The following is a 21,974-nucleotide window of genomic DNA, read 5'->3' as shown; positions in this document are numbered from 1 at the left end:
AGGGCATAACCTAATCCTAAGAGAGGCTGAAATGAAGTTTTGCTGGCCAGGGAAGGAAGCAGGAGCCGGATTGTAAATGTACTTAGGAGTGTGTTCATGTGGGCGGTGGAGGCATTGGGGAGTGGTGCTATCTGGAATGTACGGATTCCAGAAGGACATGGAGGCAGCGGGGAATAAGGACGGGCCTCGTATCAGCTGAACTGAGGTGTGTGCAGCACAGCACTGAGCCAGAAATGTACTTAGAGCCTCAGAGTCTATTCATTCCCTTCAAAGAAAACCCCTAGACAGCAACTGCAGTATAAATAGCAAACAAGCAAGCACATGGTTCTTCTGCATCAGAATGGAGAAAAGACGTTGATCCTGAGCAACCTGGAGTCCAGCAGCAGCCCTCCTGGGCCCCAAACCTTCCCAGTGGCCTCCTCAGCTCTCAGAAAACCAGCACCTTTCTCCCCAGCAAAGCCCACCCTACACAGACTGCTGAGCCTCCCACAGCCAAACAAGTGATGAATAGCAGCCCTCTCCCCAAGGGTTCTGCCCACAGAGGCGTGCGGGCTGCTTGCTAAATGGAAGCTACAAGACCTCTGGGGCTGCTGCAGTTTGTTTTGCTGCAGGCCTCTTGGCAGATGGTGTTTGCTCAGCCTGCCCTGCAAGCCAAAGTGAGAAAGTGGGATGCTTCAAGAGAACTAACCAGGAGCTAAGAAGGAGACATCAGAAGGGGCAAACATCCCCATGACAATGGCACATCAAGGCACGGGGTCCTCGGGTCCGGGGAACACAGACTTTAGGTCTCTCCTGGTATTCGGGTCCCTTGGGGTACAGATGCCAAGACTTAAGGGGAAGAAATGGGGCCCATACAAAGAGCAAGGGGGCCAATCTGGATCAAGAATGGCAACAACAGCTGTGGCAGACTTATAGCTAGGAGCAGAGGCTGGAGCTAGGCTGGGTTCAAATCCCAGCCCTGCCACTTAAAGGTTCTGTGCCCTTGGGCAAGTCGTTTTACCTTTCCTCATTAGCAAAATGAGAATAGTAATAGTACCTACTTCCTAGGGTTGCTAGGGAGACTAAAGGAGTTATCCCATGTAAAGTGCTTAGAGCAAGCCTGGCTGTTCCTAAGGACTCAGTGAGGGTTACCAACAATGAATGACTGTTTCCAAAGGGTCTTCCAAAAACCTTGCAGAAATTCTTGCTGCTTCTCATTAGGAAAGTGATGTCCTGGGGCTGGATTTATTTGTGGGACCAGGTTTGTTCTGCACTCCAGCCCCTCCCCTCCTCACTCAGCCCTCCAGGGTGCAGTTTCGGTGTTGCGGCTATGAATGTTTCAATATCTGATCCTTTCAGTCAACTGAGACTCTCTCCCCATGCAACAGTGTTGGGATCTGGTTACCACAAAGCCAGTACTTGTGTCCCTGATCAGCCACTTAACTTGCTTCCCTGCCCATTATTTCTCCCCCTATTTCCAGAGCTGTCGGGGGAATTGGGTGAATTGTACTTAAGCAGAAGAATGCCTGCATCTATTAAATGCTCCACAGTGCCTCTTCTGCCTTCATGGAACTTCAAGAGGCAGTCCCCACCCTGTCCCTAGCTCTCTATGTGAAAAGGGAACAAGGCTACATGTATTTCTTTTGTATTCCTGCGGTGCTCTGAGGTTTAGTGTTATCACATGGTAGGCTGGGTCTATCTGTGCTGAAAGAATGAATGAATGAACAAATGACAAACAAGGTAGGAAGGTAGGTGCAACAAGTCACTTGGGAGGGTCAACAAAGGAACCAAGGGCCTCTCTGGGGCTGGAGCACCACCAGCCCAGTTTCTCCGTGTTTTCAGGAGGAGAGGGTCTAGTGCTGGGCAGGACCTACCCTGTCCTACCCACCTCCAAGGGCCTCTTCCCTGGCTCTGAGTTCCTCTTCGGGGCCCCAGAACAGGCTCCCTGGTGCTAAAATGGAAGATGATGACTATTGGGCCTTTCTCTCCAAACCAGAGATGGTTAACTTTTTGACATAAGTACTGTTGTAATGCAAGAAACTCAAGCAGCCCAGAGGAGTGCAGAGTTCCTCAGTGTTGCCTGGGAACAGGGGCCTGGATGACTTCTTGGGCAGCCCTCTCTAAAAGCTCCTTTGGGAGCCCTCTTCTAGCAGCCTAAAACCTGACTGCTAGGGGCCATCCTCTGGGTGGGGAATATTTTATTTTATTTTATTTTATTTTATTTTATTTTATTTTATTTTATTTTATTTTATTTTATTTTATTTATGTTTTATTTCTGCTGCTGGAAACTCAGGGAGCCTGAGAGTTCTACTGTTCACTCATCAGCCACTTGTAAACTTATTTTTCCGAGGCTTCTAGCCTAGGAAGAACCTGAACACTATAAACGAGATCTTTCTCTGAAGATGCTCAGAGTGTGGGGGAAGGGACAGGGTAAAAGAAGTTACTAGTATAGCATCAATAAATTCTGTTTTGATTGCAAGTGGTTTTGTACTTTATTTTCTTTCACTCTCCCCCACCTTTTTTTTTTTTTTTTTCTGAGACAGAGTCTTGGTTCTGTTGCCCAGGCTGGAGTGCAGTGGCACAATCTCGGCTCACTGCAACCTCCGCCTCCCGGGTTCAAGTGATTCTCCCGCCCCAGCCTCCGAGTAGTTGAGATTACAGGTGTGTGCCACCATGCCTGGACAATTTTTGTATTTTTAGTAGAGATGGGGTTTCACCGTGTTGACCAGGCTGGTTTCGAACTCCCGACCTTAAGCCATCCGCCTGTCTTGGCCTCCCAAAGTGCTGGAATTACAGGCATGAGCCACTGCGCCCAGCCAGCTCTCTCCCTTCTTTCTCCCCCTCCTTCTCCAGAGACGAGTAGGGATCCCTCTTAGGGGTCTAAATAAAGAAAAATCTTGAGTTCCTTCCAGGAAAATTGCAGGCTCCTAGCTAGCCTTGAGAAGTAAATAAGCAACTTGGTAAGCAGGAAGGTAACAGTGGCTTAAAACAATAGCCAAGGAAGTTAAAGTCATGTTTGGTTCCCTTTAGAAACTAAAGATAACATCTCAACATATGTTCCTGAGTTGTTTTTCAGAAACCCGGACCCCTACTAAATGGATCTGCTGGCATATCGACCTCAGATAAGGGGGGACTAAGGACTGAACTCTGACCTCTGTTCTTTCTTCTAAAATTCTTCCTGAAGGGCTTGGAGGAGGTCATGCCCATGAGCCAGAGCTAATAATTCTTTTCTGCTTGCTTCCAAATTTTTAGACAAAGCCTCCTTAACCAATCACAAATCAAAAAAATCTTTGAATCCACCTATGACCTGTTCCTCTCTCCTCCACTTTGAGATGTCTTGCCTTTTTAGGTCAAACCAATGCACAGACTCTATGTATTGATTTATGACTTTGCCTGTAACCTCCGTCTCCTTGCCTTCAAAAACTCTTACCTGTAAGCCACTGAGGACTTCAGGGTTTAAGCATTAGTGGCCCAATTCTCCTTGCTTGGTGCCCTACAATAAATGCCTCGGTTTCTTTCATTGCAGTCCCAATGTCAGTGTTTGGCTTTACTGCCCGGGGCCAGAAGACACCTGTTCAGTTAAAAAAACACCTTTTCTCTTTTTTTGTATGCAAAGTCCCTTTTGGAATTCTTCAGTTGTACCAAGAATAACATGGGAAAGAGATTCCCCCACCCCATCCATTTGACCAGGGAGAATGGGGGAGCTTTGTACCCAGAGGAGAGAAAAAGCCCAGAGGTAGAGATGCTTGAGAAGGACTCTCCCCAAATGGAGACCCCCATTCAGCTCCCCCCCCTCACTGAAAGCTTGCTAGAGATTGTTTTTTTTTTAGAGAGGAAGGCTGGTTGCCTTCCAGGCCTCAATTTGTTCCCCAAAGTAGTCTTTCCCACGGGAAGAACTGTTTCTTATTCTATGTATAAAACTGGATTTTTGAACCTCTCAATCAGTCTCCCATATGAAATGTACCCTCTAAACTGGAGTCCTTTATGTAAGGGCCACTTTGAGCCCCAGCAACACTGTGGGTCAGATGATGACCCTGTTTGGAGTGGCGTACATATTTCTGGGTGTCTGTCTGTCTGTGTTGCCCAAACGTGCTCCTATTTAACCTTGATCATCCTTTCTGGCTGAAGGATGCCAAAGTGAATATCGGTCATTCTATCTCCAGCAGCAATCTTAGACAGCCAAGGAAATGTCAACCCTAGGAAATAAACAGCCCTAATATTAGCCTAGATGTGTGGACATGTTTCCTCAGCAGATGTGGGAAAAAAAAAAACCCTTAAATTCTCATGTATTTTTAAAGCATGCCTCATGCACCAAAATCTCCCAAGATGTCACTAAATGTATTTTGGCCCAGAACAGCTGTTATTACCGTATCTCTTACCCAAGGGATGAGCCAGCATCCAGCCCTCAGTTTCCTGGGCTCAGGATAGCTGGCTGTCCCCAAAACAGGTTGAAAAGCCCCACCACTGCTGACCCACATGTTCCCTTTGCCACCAGGCAGGCAGCCATTCTAGAACCACAGCACATGGCAACTCCCTCCACCACAGAAAAATGTGCAAGTGACAGATGCAAACAGGTCATGAAACAGACACCAGAGGTCATGCTGTCACCAATGAGCATTTCCTGACAGGGCCTGTGCACAGCATCCTCTGTTGTTCACAGGGCTATCCTAGGTGATGGGGTTACGCGGAGTCTCACCACAGATGCTCAAGGCTTGACAGGCGGGAAAGACAGGACGTCCTCATCACGACAAATGCTTATTATCAGTCCTGACTGTGCAGGTAAGCACTATAGGAAAGCCCTCAGAGGAGGAAAAGACCAAAAGGAGGGGGTGAGGGCCGAAGAAATGGGACCTAAGAAGTACCTTGTCACAAATCTAGACCTCCACTTAGTAGGGGAGAGGAAGGGCTTCTGGAGAAGTATTGGAGAAAGGTGGGTTTGACAAGGTTGATAGAGACAGTGAGGCAGAAGGACAGCTGTATTGCTAAGAAATTAGAGCTTATCCTATGGGCTTCTGGGAGCCAGAGTAGGTCAAGTAAATGGACCTTAAAATGTATGATACAAGAACTGGAAACTCCCTATTGGCCTGAACTTCAAATTCACTTTCACAAATGCAGCGGCTGCAGATCAAAGAGGTAGGCACTGGGGCAGGGTAGGGTTGGGGAAGTTAGGGAAGAGGAAAGGCACAGAAAGAAGAAGATGCAGTCACTGAGCTCCCAGTTGCATCAAAAGACAAAGTACTCCATAAGAAGCCAGAGGTTGGCTGGGTGCAGCGGCTCATGCCTGTAATCCCAGCGCTCAAGGATGGCTTGAGGTCAGGTGTTCAAGATAAGAAGCCAGAAGTCTAAGGCAGTATACAATAAGCATCACATAATTGCTATAGCACCCAGAGTCTGTTCTTTTAAGCAAACAAATATTTTTATAACTTTGTATTTTATAAGCATTTATTATATAATTATATCTTTATAGTTCTAATAAAATGGAATCAAAACATATGGCCTCATTCACAAGATTTTAAAATAAGGTAGAAAATTTTGTTTCCAATCCTTTTTTAAGTGTACAGGTATGAGAGATTTAAAGGTATTACAAAACAGTGCTTTGGGCAAAATTGTGTAATGATGGAAACATCTAAACATCTGTTTTCAAATGTTTTTTCCTTAGCATGTCATCAATTTTTAAAAGATAATAAAGCATCACCTTTAAAATGGAATGCTTGTTGTTTTGTATAAGAAAAACAAGTAACTTTTTAATTTTGATAAACCTTAAGTACTTGCCATGAGAAAATTGGTAAACCTTTATGGGAATCAAAAGACCTCCCTGGTCACTCCATATCCCATTTCAAAGTGTTATAAGAATTCTGTTATATTTTACAGACCTTCTTTTTATAAAATTAACATCATCAATGACAACACAGCATTTTGTGCACATATGGCTTTAACTTCTTTGCTGCCCAGTAAAGGAATATTAAGTGTGGTTCTATCTTTGTAACCACACCAGATCCCTCTTTTTATTCCAGTCAATACTTTTTCTATAAAGCGTTTTTATTAGGGAAGTCATTTACTCTTTTCCCACTCATCCTCCCTTTAGTGGCTCAAAAATAGTGCTTTATCATATAATTCTCGTATTTCAACAAAATGTAGCAAATCCCATTAACTGAGATGTTAGAAATCTCTATACTTTAAATCAAATATATAGCAGATTTCCTATCAGGCATACTTTGTCCTAATATTCATTTAAAATTTTTTCAGCAATGTTTTTTATGCATCTGTCAATAATGCCTGCTGACAAAAGATTGCATTTTTTATTGCCATATTGTTTTTCATGTCTTATTTCAGCCATTTTTCATGGTAGAAAAAGCAAGTGTTTCCCTAAGGGCATATGGCTTTTTGTGTTTTGCAATTACTAAGAACACTAAAGGATTCACGCATATGTTTATCATTAGATTTAATGAAATGTTAAATACCGGATTAAGCATTGTAATGACTTCAAGCATCAATGAAAAAATTGAGAAAGTTTTTCTTCATGGTCTAGATGCTTAATTTTTAAATATCTTACTAATTGGGAAATTTTCTGCTATCATTAGCTAATATCTCAAGACAAAAACTCTTAGGACAATATCCTTCATTAACAATAATAAATGGCAACCATGTTTCAGAGAATTGTTTTTGCTTTTTATTTATTTATTTTTTTGAGACGGAGTCTCGCTGCGTCACCCAGGCTGGAGTGCAGTGGCGCGATCTCGGCTCACTGCAAGCTCCGCCTCCCCGGTTCACACCATTCTCCTCCCTCAGCCTCCCGAGTAGCTGGGACTACAAGCGCACGTCTCCGTGCCCGGCTAATTTTTTGTATTTTTAGTAGAGATGGGGTTTCACCGTGTTAGCCAGGATTGTCTCGATCTCCTGACCTCGTGATCCACCCACCTCGACCTCCCAAAGAGACAATTGTTTTTTAAATGTTGCATTTTTCTGTCAACTTCTTTTCAGATCTGATTGGATTCTCATTGCTTTTGCCTTATAAAGTGGCTAACAAAGAACTTATAAAGAAAGAAAAGGGTCACCCCAGAAATATTCTTTTTGTTTTTTATGCTTTTACTATTGATATTATCTCCAACCCGAATTTCTTTGCAGGAATCTTTTAAAGACATTTGTTCATTTTGTGAAAGTTATATAGACACATGGTAGGCATTTGAAAAGATGTTGGTTGATTGAGAAAAACCTGAAACCTGATAGATGATATATTCATCATTTCCTCTTTTTTTCTCACACTATCTAGTCTAAGATCATCAATTCCTCTTTACAAAGTCCTAACATCTTACAGATCCCAAAGGATTTTCAAGATCTGCAATCCATGGGGCTTTCAGTGGGAAGCACCCTTATGCCCTAAATGGTTTGATAAAGAGAGGGAAAAGCCCCCCTGTTCCTAGTTCAGGAGGATCAAATTTTTAATTCTCAGGGACTTCTCAGCCAAGATGTATTTTCTTGTATTCCACATTGTCTCTTGAGAGGAGTAAAAACAATCCATGGTATTTTATTCTTCACTTTCCCCCATAGTGATAAATACAGATGAACAGTCAAAGAGCTCAGCCTCATCTGAGATGCATGCCCAGGCCTGCTGGGCGTTCTGCTGGGACAATGCAGCCTGGCCAGGTCTTACCTAAGAGGAAGTGAGCCTGAGGACAGAACCTGGACAGGAAATGCACATTGGTTGGCGAGTCTGCAATCACACAAAAAGGCACCCTCTTTGACAATCTTTAGGCATCACTTAAAATTGTATTTGGCTCCCTGTACTAGAAACCCAACCATGCTGGCTTACCCAAATGAGGCTTTTATTTGTGTCATGTAACAAGAAATCAGGAAGTAGATAGTCCAGAGATGTTGTCAAGAAAGTCAAGAAGAACCTCAGATCCTTCTAGCTCCTGCCCCACCATCCTAGCATAGAGCTTTCCTTTTCAGGAGTGTGAGACAGCTGCTTCATTCCCAGGCATCTCCTCCTCCAGGCAGGAAGAAGGGGAAGGGTGAGGCCAAATGCAGCCTCTTGGGCCTTTCTTTGCAGGCACACATACCCTTCCCAGAGCCCTGAACCTACATTTCAAGGTCCAGCACTGTGAACATCTGCAAGAGAGTCTGAGAGATCAGGTATCAACTGAACACATTACAGCCCCAAGTAAAATTGATGTCCATTTAGTAAGATGAAGGGGAGGAAAGATTCTGGAATAAGTAGCAATGTCTGGGCTCTTCTCATGAATTAAGCACCCATGCTTCAATTCCATATGGAATAGACTGATCCTTGCTTGTCCACCGTCCCCTCTCAAACACCTGTTCATCATGCCTTAGACAAGCAGCACACTGAGAGAAAGTGTTCCGGTGGGTTCCCCGTGTGCCCTAGTCACATGCTGAGCTGGCCTACGATTCATTCCTGAACAATTTCCTTGGGGACAGTAGGGGTCAGGATGCCTGGGCCCAGCCTTTGGCTTACTGTGGGGAAAAGGAGACTCCTCCAGGTCCTTGACCTACCTTCTGGGTGCTTGAGGAGGATACCTCCGATTCACAAATAAACAGAGCCATCTGTGACAGGCTGTGCAAAGGCTGAGCCTTACCCACAGAGCCACAGCATCCACCCCTGCTATTCAGCTCTGAGTCCAGATGGGCATGCAGCCCAGAAGCCCCTGAGGGCATTGGATTTCAGCGTGGAGAAGACCTTGTGTGGGAGGTACTCCCAGACAAGAGGAGATGGGAGCAGGAGGAGGGGAGGCTGAGGGCTGGGGAGCTGGCTGTGCATGAAGCTGTGATTCTCATCAGTGCCTTGGAGGATTCACCACTTCTGCTCCATGCCTCCTCATAGGGTGATATGGTAGATTTCATTCAAGCTGAACAGAATTGATATTTTGCTCAAATCCTGTTTTAAGAATTTTTGTGCCTTCCTCGTAAAAGCAGCATAGCCTAGGTGACTCTGGGCAGGGTTAATAGTCATCTGTGTGAATGATTTGAAGGAGGATGGATGGGTGTTTTTCTCTCATTGTGAAATCAACACATACACGCTGAAGAAAATTTAGAAAGTATAGAACAATTTTAAGAAGCAGGAAATGGCCAGGCACTGTGGCTTACCCCTGTAATCCCAGCACTTTGGGAGGCTGAGGCGGGCGGATCATGAGGTCAAGAGATCGAGACCATCCTGGCCAATGTGGTGAAACCTCGTCTCTACTAAAAGTACAAAGATTAGCTGGGCATGGTGGCGTGTGCCTGTAGTCCCAGCTACTCAGGAGGCGGAGGCAGGAGAATCGCTTGAACCCAGGAGGCGGAGGTTGCAGTGAGCCGAGATCACGCCACTGTACTCCAGCCTGGCAAAAGAGCAAGACTCCGTCTCAAAAAAAAGAAGCAGGAAACAAAAACCCTTCATAAATCTTAGGAGAAATACAAATCTAGATACAGATTCTAGATATATGAATAGTATCTCCATTTAGTGCCTAGGAAAGTGTCTATGGCAGAAATTTCTGGTTGCTCCCAATATCATTCTTCATTCCTACCACAAGCTCAAATCCATTTAGCATAGCAATGTGCCCAGGTAAAAGACAACATTTCTTAACCTCCCTTACTGGCAAGTGCGAAAGGATTATAAGTAGAACTTGGATGGGATTGCAGAAAGACTCCTAACGGGGCAGACAGGTCAGGCATGCATGTCATGTCCTTTTGTTCCTTTCTGTTCTCACTTTTCCTGCCTGAAATATGGATGTGATGGCTAACACACCAGCTGTAGTCTTGGACATTTTAGGATTAAAGCTGTGTGCAAAAGTCAGTGATGCAGAAAGCTAGAAGAAAGCTGCATCCCTGATGACTTGGTTAGAGCTGCCATACCAGCCCTGGAACACCTGCCTCTGGACTTTTTTTTTTTTTTTTTTTTTTGAGACGGAGTCTCGCTCTGTTGCCAAGGCTGGAGTGCAGTAGCGCGATCTCGGCTTACTGCAAGCTCCACCTTCTGGGTTCACGCCATTCTCCTGCCTCAGCCTCCCGAGTAGCTGGGACTACAGGCGCCCGCCACCTTGCCTGGCTAATTTTTTTTTTTTGTATTTTTAGTAGAGACAGGGTTTCACCATGTTAGCCAGGATGGTCTCGATCTCCTGACCTCGTGATCCACCCGCCTTGGCCTCCCAAAGTGCTGGGATTACAGGCGTGAGCCACCGCACCCGGTCCCTGGACTTTTTTTTTTTTTGCGGCAGGGGAGGGAATCAAACACAATTTATTTTAGAACTAGACAGGAAAGACTGAACTAAAGAAAAAGTTTTACCCTAAACTTTCCCAACTGACGTCTTCTGGACAGGCTCCATGTTATCAACTGTGTCAGTCACATCAGTGGCCTGTACAAATTGTGTAATTCAATTGAAGAGTCAAGTTTGCAAATAACAATCTTTCCATTCTCTGTGCTTTAGAACAATTCTGAAAACACATTTATTATGCTCCCAACCCATAACTGTTTAATTAGGTTTTTCTTCTAAAAATAACTTGGATCAAGAGAATCATTTACTTTATACATATTCAAAAACAGAACTCATTCATTTTCTTCAGTGTTCCATGGAGGGGAAAACTGGTCCAACCAAACAGATGTAGTAAAAAGTATGTTTCCTGTTTTGGCTTCTTTGTGTTAATAACCAGAGAAAATCCTTTGTTGTTTTCATCTTGGCTTCAACATAATGTATCAATATCCCTTTCTTCCTCTGATTCTTGACCTGGTATCCAACACTGATCTTTTATACTCAAAAAATGAGTATTTCAAAGCTTTGCAGTATCCTTCCTTCAAACACTGCAGAGGGGATTTTCCTTCCTGGACCACACAGTTGGACTGCAACAGACACACGCCCAGGTCCTCCTTCAGCTTGTCCTTGTAATACCGGGGCGTGACGGCGCTTCCCGTCCACTGCAGACTTGTCTTTCTTCCACTACAACCACTGTGACCGGGCCTGGAGCGAGCAAGGCCTCCGTCGCCTCTGGACTTTTATGAGTGAGACGTAAGCCCCTGTTTAAGTCATTGTGGTCAGGTCTTCATTAATCACAACTAAATGTAATTGTTAGCTGATCCACTGCCTGACACAGCGTGATGTCCAGTAAAAGCTGGAATATCTGGGAAGAGCTACGGGTGATGAGAAGACTGGGCAAAAGAATCTTGGCCTTGCTCCACTACAAGTTCTGAGTGACCAAGTTATGTGTTCTTTCGGGGCCTCAGTTTATTTTCTCTGAAGTGTGAGGGTCACAGTAAATATTCTCTAACAGATTCTTTGGGCTCATATCCCTCTGAATCTAGGGACTGGAGAGATCTGGGTGCTCTTCTGGTTCCACCCTTAATAGCTTTGTAACTGTAGGTGGGTTTCATAGCCTCTTGGAGCCTTGGGTTTTCATCTCGCTTGTCTAACATGTCAGGTACACAGGAAATGTTTGTCGAATGCAGGAGGAAAGTGGAGATCATGCCACCTGTCTTGGCTGCTTCCCCAGATGATAGCAAGAATAGGATAAGATGGTCCTGTACAGTGCCACCCAGAAGAGTGGGCTACTGTAATTCTAATGGCTGCAGGACTGACATGGCCTCCCCCAGCCTCCTGCAGAGCTTGTGTTCTAGGTGTTTGCCAGAACTAGCCTCTACTGCAAAATGGCCCTGCCACCTTCCTCCCTGAGCAGCTTCTAGACTGCTTCTTGGGTGGCCAAATCCCTTTGTGGAAGGAAGGGCCAGGAAGAGAACTAAAGCAGTCCACAGCAAGTGTGAGTGAGAAATAGAATCAACCCCTCCCTGAATGAAGTTCCAGAGACAGTGTCCTCCATCTTCTGGCTGACCCCTTCTGAGGGTGCCAGGGACCTCTGCCATCGTTTGCCTTCAGGAGAGAAAGCTGTGGCCATCTGAGAAGCTTCTTGATCCCCATTGGCCCAGAGCTCCACCTGTGCTGTTGTTTCCTGAGAGGAAGTTCGGTTGTCCTGGCACTCAGTCTCCATGGCAACCCTTGCTTTTGAGACACTGAATGGAAACTGCCTGGTATGGGGAGGCCAGTAGCAGAATACTGATTTGCCTGGGTGTCTGTAGCAATGACTGCATCTCAATACCTTTCCAGATACCCAAAGAGCTAAAAATACACCCGGCTCTGTCTAGGACTCTCCAGCCCCGCTAAGCATCTTAAAGTATATCTGTGCTGACTCTAACCTGCTAATATTAGTTATCTTTGGCAACTTGTGCCTGGGGACATGGAGTAGGGTGTTGAATGCAAAACTGCAGAGCCTAAGTGTGAAGGGGTGAGCTGGAGAGAAGACGGTGAAGTGAAGAGGACCTCCTGAGAGGAAACCAGGGGGTTCCAGGGGGACGGCCAACAGAGAGCACATTGAATCTTAACTCCCTGCAGAGCTCTAGGGAACTTGTTTGTCCAACTCCGACGATCTAGGCATTTGCTCATTTGCCAACCATCTATTAAGCACCTACTCTGCTCCAGGCTCTGTGCCAGGCACTGGGATTACAGGGGTGAATAAAAGAGAGTGTATGTTCCCTGCTCTCACCAGAGTTTACCAAATGTCTTAAATGAGAATCATCTCTGCAAGTCCAGAAATGCTATCTGTATATACTTGGATGTCTCCTATGCTATGCAGTGAGTTTCATCAACTTGAAGATTATTTTACTTATAATGTTGGCACCCTTTCCAGAACATAGTAGGTGGTGAGCTAATACGGAATTGAATGGAATGGAATGGACTGGAATGGCATTGCTACAACTGCTGTGGGCTGTTCTACAGCACTGCTGCAGCCTTCTTGTGGGCCTCCCAGAGGCTCTGGCTGGCTCTGCAAAGTATGTGCTCAGGCTGTAAGGTGCTGTATTTGGGATAGACCAGGTGACTGCTACACTGACACCTGCTGAGGGAGCTCAGTATAAGGTGATGGTTTGAATATATTCCTAGTCTCCTTGGCAGGATCTACAGACAGTCCTCCCCCCAACTCATCTCCTTGTTCCCGTAATCACTGCACATGTCATTCAATTAATTCTGCATTTCCCAGGGCAGGAAGCTGTACAGAGTTTAGAGCAAGCAGCCTATGCCAGGGCTGCTCTCAAAAAGCAGGTGTCACACACTCAGCCCCAGTCTTTAACTCCAACCTGGCCTCCTCCACATGGCAGATAAGCCACAAGATGGAGAAATGGAAAATGACCATGACTCTCTGGGGATGTTCTTGGATATGCAGTGGGTGCAATGAAGGAACATGAGGTGCAAATGATGCACTGAATCACATGAAGATGCCACAGTGACCCTGACCATCCTCCCAAGCCTCAGGGGTCAGATCCTGTGGCTGGCTGGTTGGCTTAGAGCAGAGAGAAGGGGCTGGTCTCCTGGATGCACCCAAATCCCGCAGGCTGTCTAGCTGAGAATGGGAATGGTTTCATGCAACCGAATCCTCCTTTCTGACAAAGCATCTCCAGATATGTCTGATGGGGGACATCCACAGCAGAGCTGCTTGGGGTTCCCTCCTGGAACCCTGCAGGCAAAACAACAACAGAAACGCCGCCCCCCCCCCGACTTCTGCCTATTTCTTCCTTCTCATGAAGAAGCAGTAGCAGGCCTCTGAGGGTTTTCCTTCCCCTTCCTGCTAGAGGAAGGATCCTGAGGGTACCTGGAGCTTGGTCTGCAACTGATCACCTGCCTCTATTGGTGGCTCTCTGCATGGCCGTGAAGTAGGGCGGGGGCCCTATAGACCCAAGAACCCCTGAGGAGAAATGGGAAAGGCCTCTCTTGACCAGGACTTCAGCCTAGCCAGGTGGCTAGACTCATTCAGAGCTTCACTTGAGATGCTTTCACCACCCCTGCCCTCTGACTTCTGCTGCCCTCAGAGCCAGTCTGATAACACCGTCAACAAGGAAGGCTCCCTTCTCATGGCTCTGTGGAAGAAGGAACAGTGGAGAAAATAAGCTGATTGGAACATGTTCCAAGAAACAGTTGATTATCTGTGGCCTGAGCAGAGGAAAGAGCCCTAGACTCAGGATCAGAAAATCTGGGTCCTGGTCCGGGTCTCCCACTGACCTTAGCTACAGCACTAGCCCCTCAGAGCCTGGACACCACCTCACACTGTTCTCAGGAGGATGCATCAAGACAGGGGACATTCAAATGCTTTGAACAATAACATACAGATGTGTGGAATTTATTCAACACTCTGTTTGTGGTTGACACTATGCTAGATGCTGTGGCAGATGCATGAATGTGGCCTCCACTGTGAAGACACTTGTAGAATCTAGAGTTGACATCTCAGGGCTGTAAGCAATGAGACATCTCTCATGATTGGTTGTTATTCTTTAGGGAAGACCAGAGTGGGCAGAAACAAGGCACACATGTGCAAAACAAGAAGATGCATAAACAGACAACAATGAAGTGCCCTCATGGTCAGTAAATGTGGTTGGAGATTGGAAAGGGGAGGAAGGGATGATCAGCATGGGGTCAGCATGGCCCCAAGTGCTAGGGAAGGCTTTGTGGAGGGAGCCATTGTGCATTGGACTGGGAAGATATACCAGCTTCAGAGAGTTGGCTGAGAAGATGGGGCTGGGGAAGAGTGTTGAGTGGAGGAGACCTAGCAAAAGCATGGAGGCCCCACTAAATATGGGGTGAGGGAATCAGCCTGCCTGGGAGAGCAGAGAGATAAGATCACAAACATACGCTGGGGAGTTGCTTGCCTTGGGCAAGCATAATTGGCCTATAATTAGCCTATCTGAGTCCCAATTTCTTCTCCTATCCTATGAAAAGTTGATAACAACACATACCTGAAGGGACTGTGGTGAGATTACAATAGATCCAAGCCATGGTTCTGCAACTCACTAGCTTCCTGACCAGACAAGTTAACCTAACTTCCCTGATGCTCAGATTTCTCATTTTTAGAGTGGAGATAATATCTCTTTTGAAGGATTGTGTTAGAATTGAATGAGATATGTAAAATATTTGGCACAGAGTAGATGCTCAATGAATGTGATATTGTACCAGAGCCATTCTCGGGAGGCAGGGCATCAGGAAGTTTCTGGAGCAGAGGGGCAGGGTTTCAGCTGAGCCATCCAACCTCTCTCCGGTGATCAAGGGAGAGCATTTCTGAGTGCTCTATCCAGGCAAGTTCCATCTGTGCTCAAGACAGCCAGTGGGAAGCTAAGCCTCTCTCCACCCTTCTCTCAGGCCTGAGCCAGTGAGTTAACCAGGCCCAACCACAGGTTTTGCAGGGCAGACTTTCATCCTTTGAAACCCAAATGACCAATTTAACAGCTGTAACCAAGGTAGGGAAGGAATTCAGAGAGGACTGTTCTCTGGTAGCCAAGGATGGGTTATGAACCTCATTTCTTGGTTGGAAAGAAAAAGAAATCATTTTAACGGATTTATTTTCTTAGGGGCACACTGACAGTCACAGAACCTGGACATCCTTCCCTAGCTAGGAGGCCTCTGAGCTCCCCAAGCTGCCCGTGCCAATGCCTGATAAGATAAATGAACTCAAGCTCCAGGCTTACTGGGTTCTGGGCACCTTGATTAGGAGTGGAGGTGAGAGATTGGTGGGCTGTGCAGGCCTGGAGTGACTCAGAGCCTGCCCCACCCCTTGCTCCCTCCTTTAGCCCCTCATCAGAAGGGCTGCCTGGAGCAGCTGGAGCGCTCACCATCATGGGCTTGCTCTCAAAGTCCCCCTAATGTGGGGCCCCCATTAGACCCATGAAGTAAGGAGAGGCAGGCTGGTTGAGCAAGGACCCTGGACCAAGGACAGAAACACCGGGGTCAAACCCCAACTCCTCTACTGATGAAGTGAGTGGCCAACAAGGGCCTTAACCTTTTGTGCCTTGTTGTCTTTGCCTGCATAATGGGATCGCTGTTTCTGCCCTGCTCCTCTCATAGGGTTGCTGTGAGGACCATTCGAGTTAATGTTGTCAGCTTAACACCTTAAAAATAATCATGATAACCAAGTCACTTAAGTTCCTCCTTCTCTCTTGGGTAAATAATCCCAAATGCTTACCCTCTGAGCAGATTCAAATTCTGTCACTTTCTACTATAGACTTCATGTTTGTATTAGTCTGTTCCCAAGCTGCTAATGAAGACACATCTGAGACTGAGTTATTTACAAAAGAAAGAGGTTTAATGGACTCACAGTTCCACATGGCTGGGGGTGCCTCACAATCATGGCAAAAGGTGAAGGAGGAGCAAAGACATGTCTTACATGGCGGCAGGCAAGAGAGAGTGTGCAGGGGAACTCCCCTTTATAAAACCATCATTTCTCATGAGATGTATTCACTATTGTGAGAACAGCATGGGAAAGACCTGCCCCCATGATTCAATTACTTCCCACCAGGTCTTCCCACAACACATGGGAATTATGGGTGCTACAATTCAAGATGAGATTTGAGTAGGGACACAGCCAAACCATAACAACGTTCGTGGCCTGTGGAGCTTGAAGTCCTCTAAGTGGACTCTTTAAGCCAAGCCGGACTAGCATGCAGTGATGTTGGGGCCCCTCACATGGAGGTCCTATAGGGACTCCTGCCAGTAGACCACTCTACCCTGCAGGCACTCCCCTGCCACCCTCTGGGTAGAAGCAACTGCCACAAGGGATACCTGACTGTTCCTGTTTGCCTAGGACCTGTCTCCCCTCTCTGCCTGCTTACATGGCCCTAGTCCCGTCCCCCAGAACTGACCTCAAAAGCTGGAGTATAGATAAGCCTCCAGGAGGTGAGGCCAGGGCTTTAAGGCAGTCCATGGGCTTGAGGCTTCAGGAACAGCCACCTGCTTCTCCACCTGATGGGCTTGGCCTAGCCTCCCCTACCCCAGCCGCTCCTCTCCTCCTCCTCCTAGAGAAGCCCAGGGCCTCTCCTAGCAGACTGGCTGTGTAGGGGGTCTTCCTTTCCTCTTTTCCCTTGGGGGCCTTGCTGGGTGCCTCACTCAGAGCAAGTGCCACTGCATGTTTGTAGGATGACTGAGTGAATAAAGGAAGGAATAACTGTGCTGAAGGTCTCAAAACTAATTCATCCCCTTGGCAATTTGCTTTTCCTCAGGGCAGGAATCTCTATCCACACTGACAGTGCCCCTGGCCCTTCCTTACACCAACCATGCAGGCATATTTCTCCAAGAGGATAACTCCATCTTTTTTCCTGGGAGTTTCTAATCACAAAATGGCCCAGGCTTGTGCAGTGGTGCCAAATGTGACATATGAATTATTCTAAGCAACTCAAAGGCCTGGTTTGGTAGGTGCAAGCCATACAAAGAGACTGGTGGGAACTGTGCCCTCAGGGAGCTTGTGGCCAGAGGGAGTGAGTGTAGAAGGCAGTAGGGCAAGATACAGGGTGGCCTACCAGATGGCAGCCTGGAGGACATGGAGGAGGGAGGAGAGACCCCTTCCAGGGGTCTGTCTGGACTTCTGGCTGGAGAAGAGCGTTGAGCTAAGTAGGCATTAGCCAGATGAGTGTGCGAGGCCTGGTCATGTGGGAGGAGGGAGGTGGGGGAGCCCGGGAAAGGGGAGCTGTGTCTGGGAACCATATGGAAGACAGTGTTTCATTTGGCATGAGAAAAGGAGTGATGACCCATTCCTGTTGTCAGAGACTAATTCTTGCTAAGGTGTTAATTTTTAATTAAGGAAAGTGTTCGCTGATAACAGCTTCAAGGTGGGACTTGAAAACGTATGATTCCACTTATATGGGGTACTTAGTCAAATTCACAAAGACAGTAGAATGCTGGTTGCTAGGGACTGGGAGAGAAGAGAATGAGGAGTCATTGTTTAATGGGTGCAGAGTCTCAGTTTGGGAAGACAGAAAGAGTTCTGGAGATGGATGGCTATATAGGTTGCACAATATGTGAATGTACTTAATGTCACTGAAAAAAATGGTTAAAATAATAAATTTATGTTATGTCTATTTGGCAACAATTTTTTAAAGCAATGCTTTTATTCTCCAGAAGCAAAGCCTCTACCAATTTCTCTTTTCTTTTAAGGAGAGCAGACAAGAGCAGTGACACTTCTAAAAGGTCACCAACTCTGAGCTTGATGCCTAATTATCAGCTGATCCTGCTCAAGACTCCCAGAGGGGGGATTGATTAATCAGTGTTCTGTCCAGGCCAAGGAGTCTATATATCAGACTCATTGGAAGGAAGCTGGCTCTGGTGCTGAAGTCGGGCCGAGGGAGGGGAGGTGGATTAGCATTCACTGAGTGTCTGCTGTATGCCAGGCAACGTGCTAACCAGGTGCCAGGCATACAAATCAACAGCTTCTCTCCTCAAGGAATTTGCAAGCAACTTTCACCCTCAGTTACCAGCCTGCCATCCCTTATTGTGGAGATGGGCAGGAGGGTAAAGGGGAAGAGACATATTCTTGCAATTGTCTGCCAGGATGCAGGACCGAAAGAATTTTTTCCAGAGCCCCCAGAAAAAAAGGGGCCTGCTCTTCTACTGACCTCTAACAACAAAAGTGCCTCTGTGTCCAGATGGTGAGAAGCAGTTAGGGTTGTCTTACAGAATCTTCATAGTGATGTAGTTGGCCATGGGGCAGGAAGGGACAAGAGTCCTATCTGGGCTCCATACTTCCTGCAGCACCCCAGGTGGGTGGGAAGGGCGGGGAGCCTGAGAGGACCTCACCCTTGAGCTGACAGAAGGGACTTGCTTTGGCCAGCATTCCCTTGGGATCACAGGCCCCCCAAACTGGGAAACCACCCAAATAGTTCAGGATCCTGAAAACGTCTCATCTTTCCTGCATCTGCCACTCTCCAGACATGTGGCTGATAGGGATCCCACCACAAAGTTTGGCTGGCAGTTTAAACTTTCGACCTCAATTCTAAACAAGTGCTTCTTATTCATTCAACATTTACTGAGTCCCTACTTAATACTAGGTATGTTAATAATTGAGTCTCTGCCATCAAGCCGAACAGGAGACAGAGATATGTCAAAGTATAATTTCCAAAAAGTTAGAAACACAAGTCTCATACAGTTAAAGTATGAATATGTATCAAAGATTTTATTGAACTCATTAACTGACAAGGGAAACAATACGATAATAAAGTTGATTCAAAGAGCATTTGAGGAACTGGGATTTAAAAGGCACGCCAAAATAATTTTTTAAAAAATACAAATCTAGTTAATGTCCTACAGAAAAATAAAACTGGGGTTATTTTTCCTACTGGATACAAATCACTTGAATCTCTAACAGGCCAAAAAAAAACAAAAACAAAAACAAAAACAAAACCCTATAACATGTAACTTCACACTTTGAGCCCTTAATTAATAATAGCAAATGACAAAGTCAAACAATTATTGTCTGCTACTGCAGCACTTTCCAGTGGATATATAATGTGAACCAGGGGTATAATTTAAATTTTTCTAGTAGCCACATTAAAAAGTAAAAACAAACAGGAGAAATTCATTTTAATAATTTATTTAACACATTCAAAATATTGTCATTTTGACATGAGGCACTAGCCACATTTCAAGTGTTCAATAGCCATCTGTTGATAGCACACTTCTAGAGAATTAATAATCTTCATGACAGACAAAGCCTTAGTATGATATTGAAGGAACATGCAGGCATCCTCCAGGTCACAGCTACATTCTGGATCATTTTTCCTACCATATCTACATAGGTCTCTGTGATCTAATTGGCCAGGGCTACAGGAAAGGTGGGTCTAATCTATGGCCTTTGAAAGGGCCTGTGGAAAGCAGCCGAGTAAACATCTAGTGCAACATATGCTCTTGTAAAGGCATATCACTGGCTAAGGGGCGAAACATTCTGCCAGTGGGACAGGGTGGATTAGAAAAGACTTCACAAGGCCAGGTGCGGTGGCTCATGCCTGTAATCCCAGCACTTTGGGAGGCTGAGGTGGGTGGATCACAAGGTCAGAGTTTGAGACCAGCCTGACCAATATGGTGAAACTCGTCTTTACTAAAAATACAAAAATTAGCCGGGCGTGGTGGCACGCACCTGTAGTCCCAGCTACTTGAGAGGCTGAGGCAGAAGAATCACTTGAACCCAGAAGGCAGAGGTTGCAGTGAGCTGAGATTGCACCACTGCACTCCAGCCTGGGTGACAGAGCAAGACTATCTCAAAAAAAAAAAAAAAAAAAGAAAAAAGAAAAGACTTCACAGAAGAAATCAATATATCTAGAAGAAAGCCAGGCCTGGTGGCTCCCACCTATAATCCCTACACTTTGGGAGGCTGAGGCGGGAGGACTGCCCAAGCCCAGAAGTTCCAGACCAGCCTGGGTAACATGGCAAGACCCCATCTCTACAAAAAATTAAAACTTAGCCAGGCATGATGGCATGTGGTCCCAGCTACTCAGAGGAGGATCACTTGGGCCTGAGAGGTCAAGGCTGCAGTGAGCTGTGATGGTATCATTGCACTCCAGTCTCGGTGACAGAGCTAGATCTTGCCTAAAAAAAAAAAAAAAGTACCTGCACTCGTATGTTTACTGCAGTATTATTCACAATAGCAAAGACATGGAATCAACCTAAATGCCCTGCCCACCAATAGATGATTAGTAGATAAAGAAAATGTGATACACATACACGTGGAATACTATTCAGCCATAAAAAGAATGAAATTATGTCGTTTACAGCAACACAGCCGGAACAAGAGGTGAAATACGTTAGACACAGAAAGACAAGTATGTTCTCACTCATAAGTAGGAGCTTAAAAATGTGTACACATGGATGTAGAGAGTGGAATGACGGACAATGGAGACTCAGAGGGAGAGAGGGTGGGAGAGGGGTGGACAATGAGAAATTACTTAATGGGTACAATGTATGTTATTTGAGTGACCGATACTCTAAAAGCCCTGATATAACTACTGTGCAACTAGGCATGTGGCAAAATTGCACTTGTACCCAATAAATGTGTACCAAAAAAAAAAAAAGAAAAGAAAAAGAAAGAAAAGACTTCACAAAGGATGAGCAGATTCACAGGTGGAGGAAAGCCAGGGGACACTCCAAGCAAAGGGAAGCGTGTAACCCAAAGCAGGAAAGTACATACATTCAAACACTTCTATGTGCATGGGATTGGAGTGCGAGTGTGTGGGAGGGAGGGCAGGGACTGACTGAGGCCCAAAAGAGAGGCTGGGACCAGACGGTGAAGGTTCTGGGGAAGCCACGCTCAAGCTTCTAACCTTTATCCAGCAGGGAGTCAGAGAAGACTTTTCGGAAAAGGAAGGGCATGAGGAGACTTGTCTTTTAGCAAAAGCTTGTTCAAGGAGCTGTTCTGTGGCTGGAGGAATCTTCTCCAACTCCCTACCCTCTAGTCACACGGTTGTAAATGGGGATGAAGTCTGACTCATGGTTGGTAGCTAAAAATGTTTTCTGGACCCCAAGTGATAGATGTGATTCCTAAATACAGGAAGAAGAAAGCATTGGCAGAGGATGCAAGGTGGCTTCTGAGGTCAGGATGGAGTAAAGACTCCTTCTGGGATCTGGAAAAGGCTGCAAGATGACTTTTATAGATTGGTGATTTAGTAGCTGATACTCTGGCAGCCTTGAGGTCGGGTTAACATGAGGTCAGAGAAATCCCAGTTTGGCATTAGCTTAGCCACTGGACAAGTGAGGCAAGAAACGGGCTTGGACTGTTTTTATCCCCACCATCTGGATGGAGATAAGAGCTGGCTTTGATTTTTCTCACCCTTTACATCGGAGAAGCCCAGAGTACTTCATGGGCATTCCCTACGATGCTGGCCACTACCTCCTGCAAGAAGCAGGTCAAACAAGGGCAGCTAGAGCTGGAACAGGCACAGATAGTACAAAGAGCCAAGAACCTCTTCGTTCTCTGAAACATCCTCCTTGATACCCACCCTCTCAATGTCAGAAAGAGGAAACTGACTTGTTCAACTTCTAGTTCTACCTGAAGACAAGATACGTGCACTGAGCAAGCTTCTTCAGGCCAAGAGAAGAGAAGAGGAAGAGAAGAGGCAGTGTGGAGGAGAGATTTTGGGATGGTTCCATAGTCAAGCCAACTCTGTTGGGCGTGTGTTATGGGAGCGGGGCCAAGGGGTCTTAAATCAGCTTCCTTAT

At 46.0% G+C, this 21,974-nt stretch overlaps 1 protein-coding gene across 4 annotated transcripts in view, besides 1 other annotated feature; it reads right to left on the bottom strand.

Annotated features, from left to right (window-relative positions):
- KCNC4 (potassium voltage-gated channel subfamily C member 4) overlaps positions 1-21,974 on the bottom strand; it is a 73,767-nt gene that overhangs the window by 16,484 nt on the left and 35,309 nt on the right. For 2 of the 4 annotated variants that reach the window (XM_011541401.4, XM_047419680.1), the window contains one exon: positions 18,913-20,348. The exons of the other annotated variants lie outside the window; for them this stretch is intronic. In XM_011541401.4, the coding sequence (XP_011539703.1) occupies positions 20,338-20,348 (11 nt within the window). In that variant the 3' untranslated portion in view covers positions 18,913-20,337. Of the gene's footprint in view, positions 1-18,912; positions 20,349-21,974 lie in introns of those variants that run through there. 4 annotated transcript variants of the gene reach the window in all.
- Positions 4,650-4,729: an enhancer, noted in NCBI's record as "active region_1465". NCBI's record gives its function as "activates an Ori minimal core promoter by ATAC-STARR-seq in GM12878 lymphoblastoid cells {active_cell/tissue: GM12878}" and the evidence as "EXISTENCE:reporter gene assay evidence [ECO:0000049][PMID:35858748]".

The sequence above is a fragment of the Homo sapiens genome, chromosome 1 (assembly GCF_000001405.40).
Source record: "Homo sapiens chromosome 1, GRCh38.p14 Primary Assembly".
Classification (NCBI taxonomy): Eukaryota; Metazoa; Chordata; class Mammalia; order Primates; family Hominidae; genus Homo; species Homo sapiens.
The sequence above is the reverse complement of the archived record's forward strand: the minus strand, read 5'-3'. Positions and strand labels throughout refer to the sequence as shown.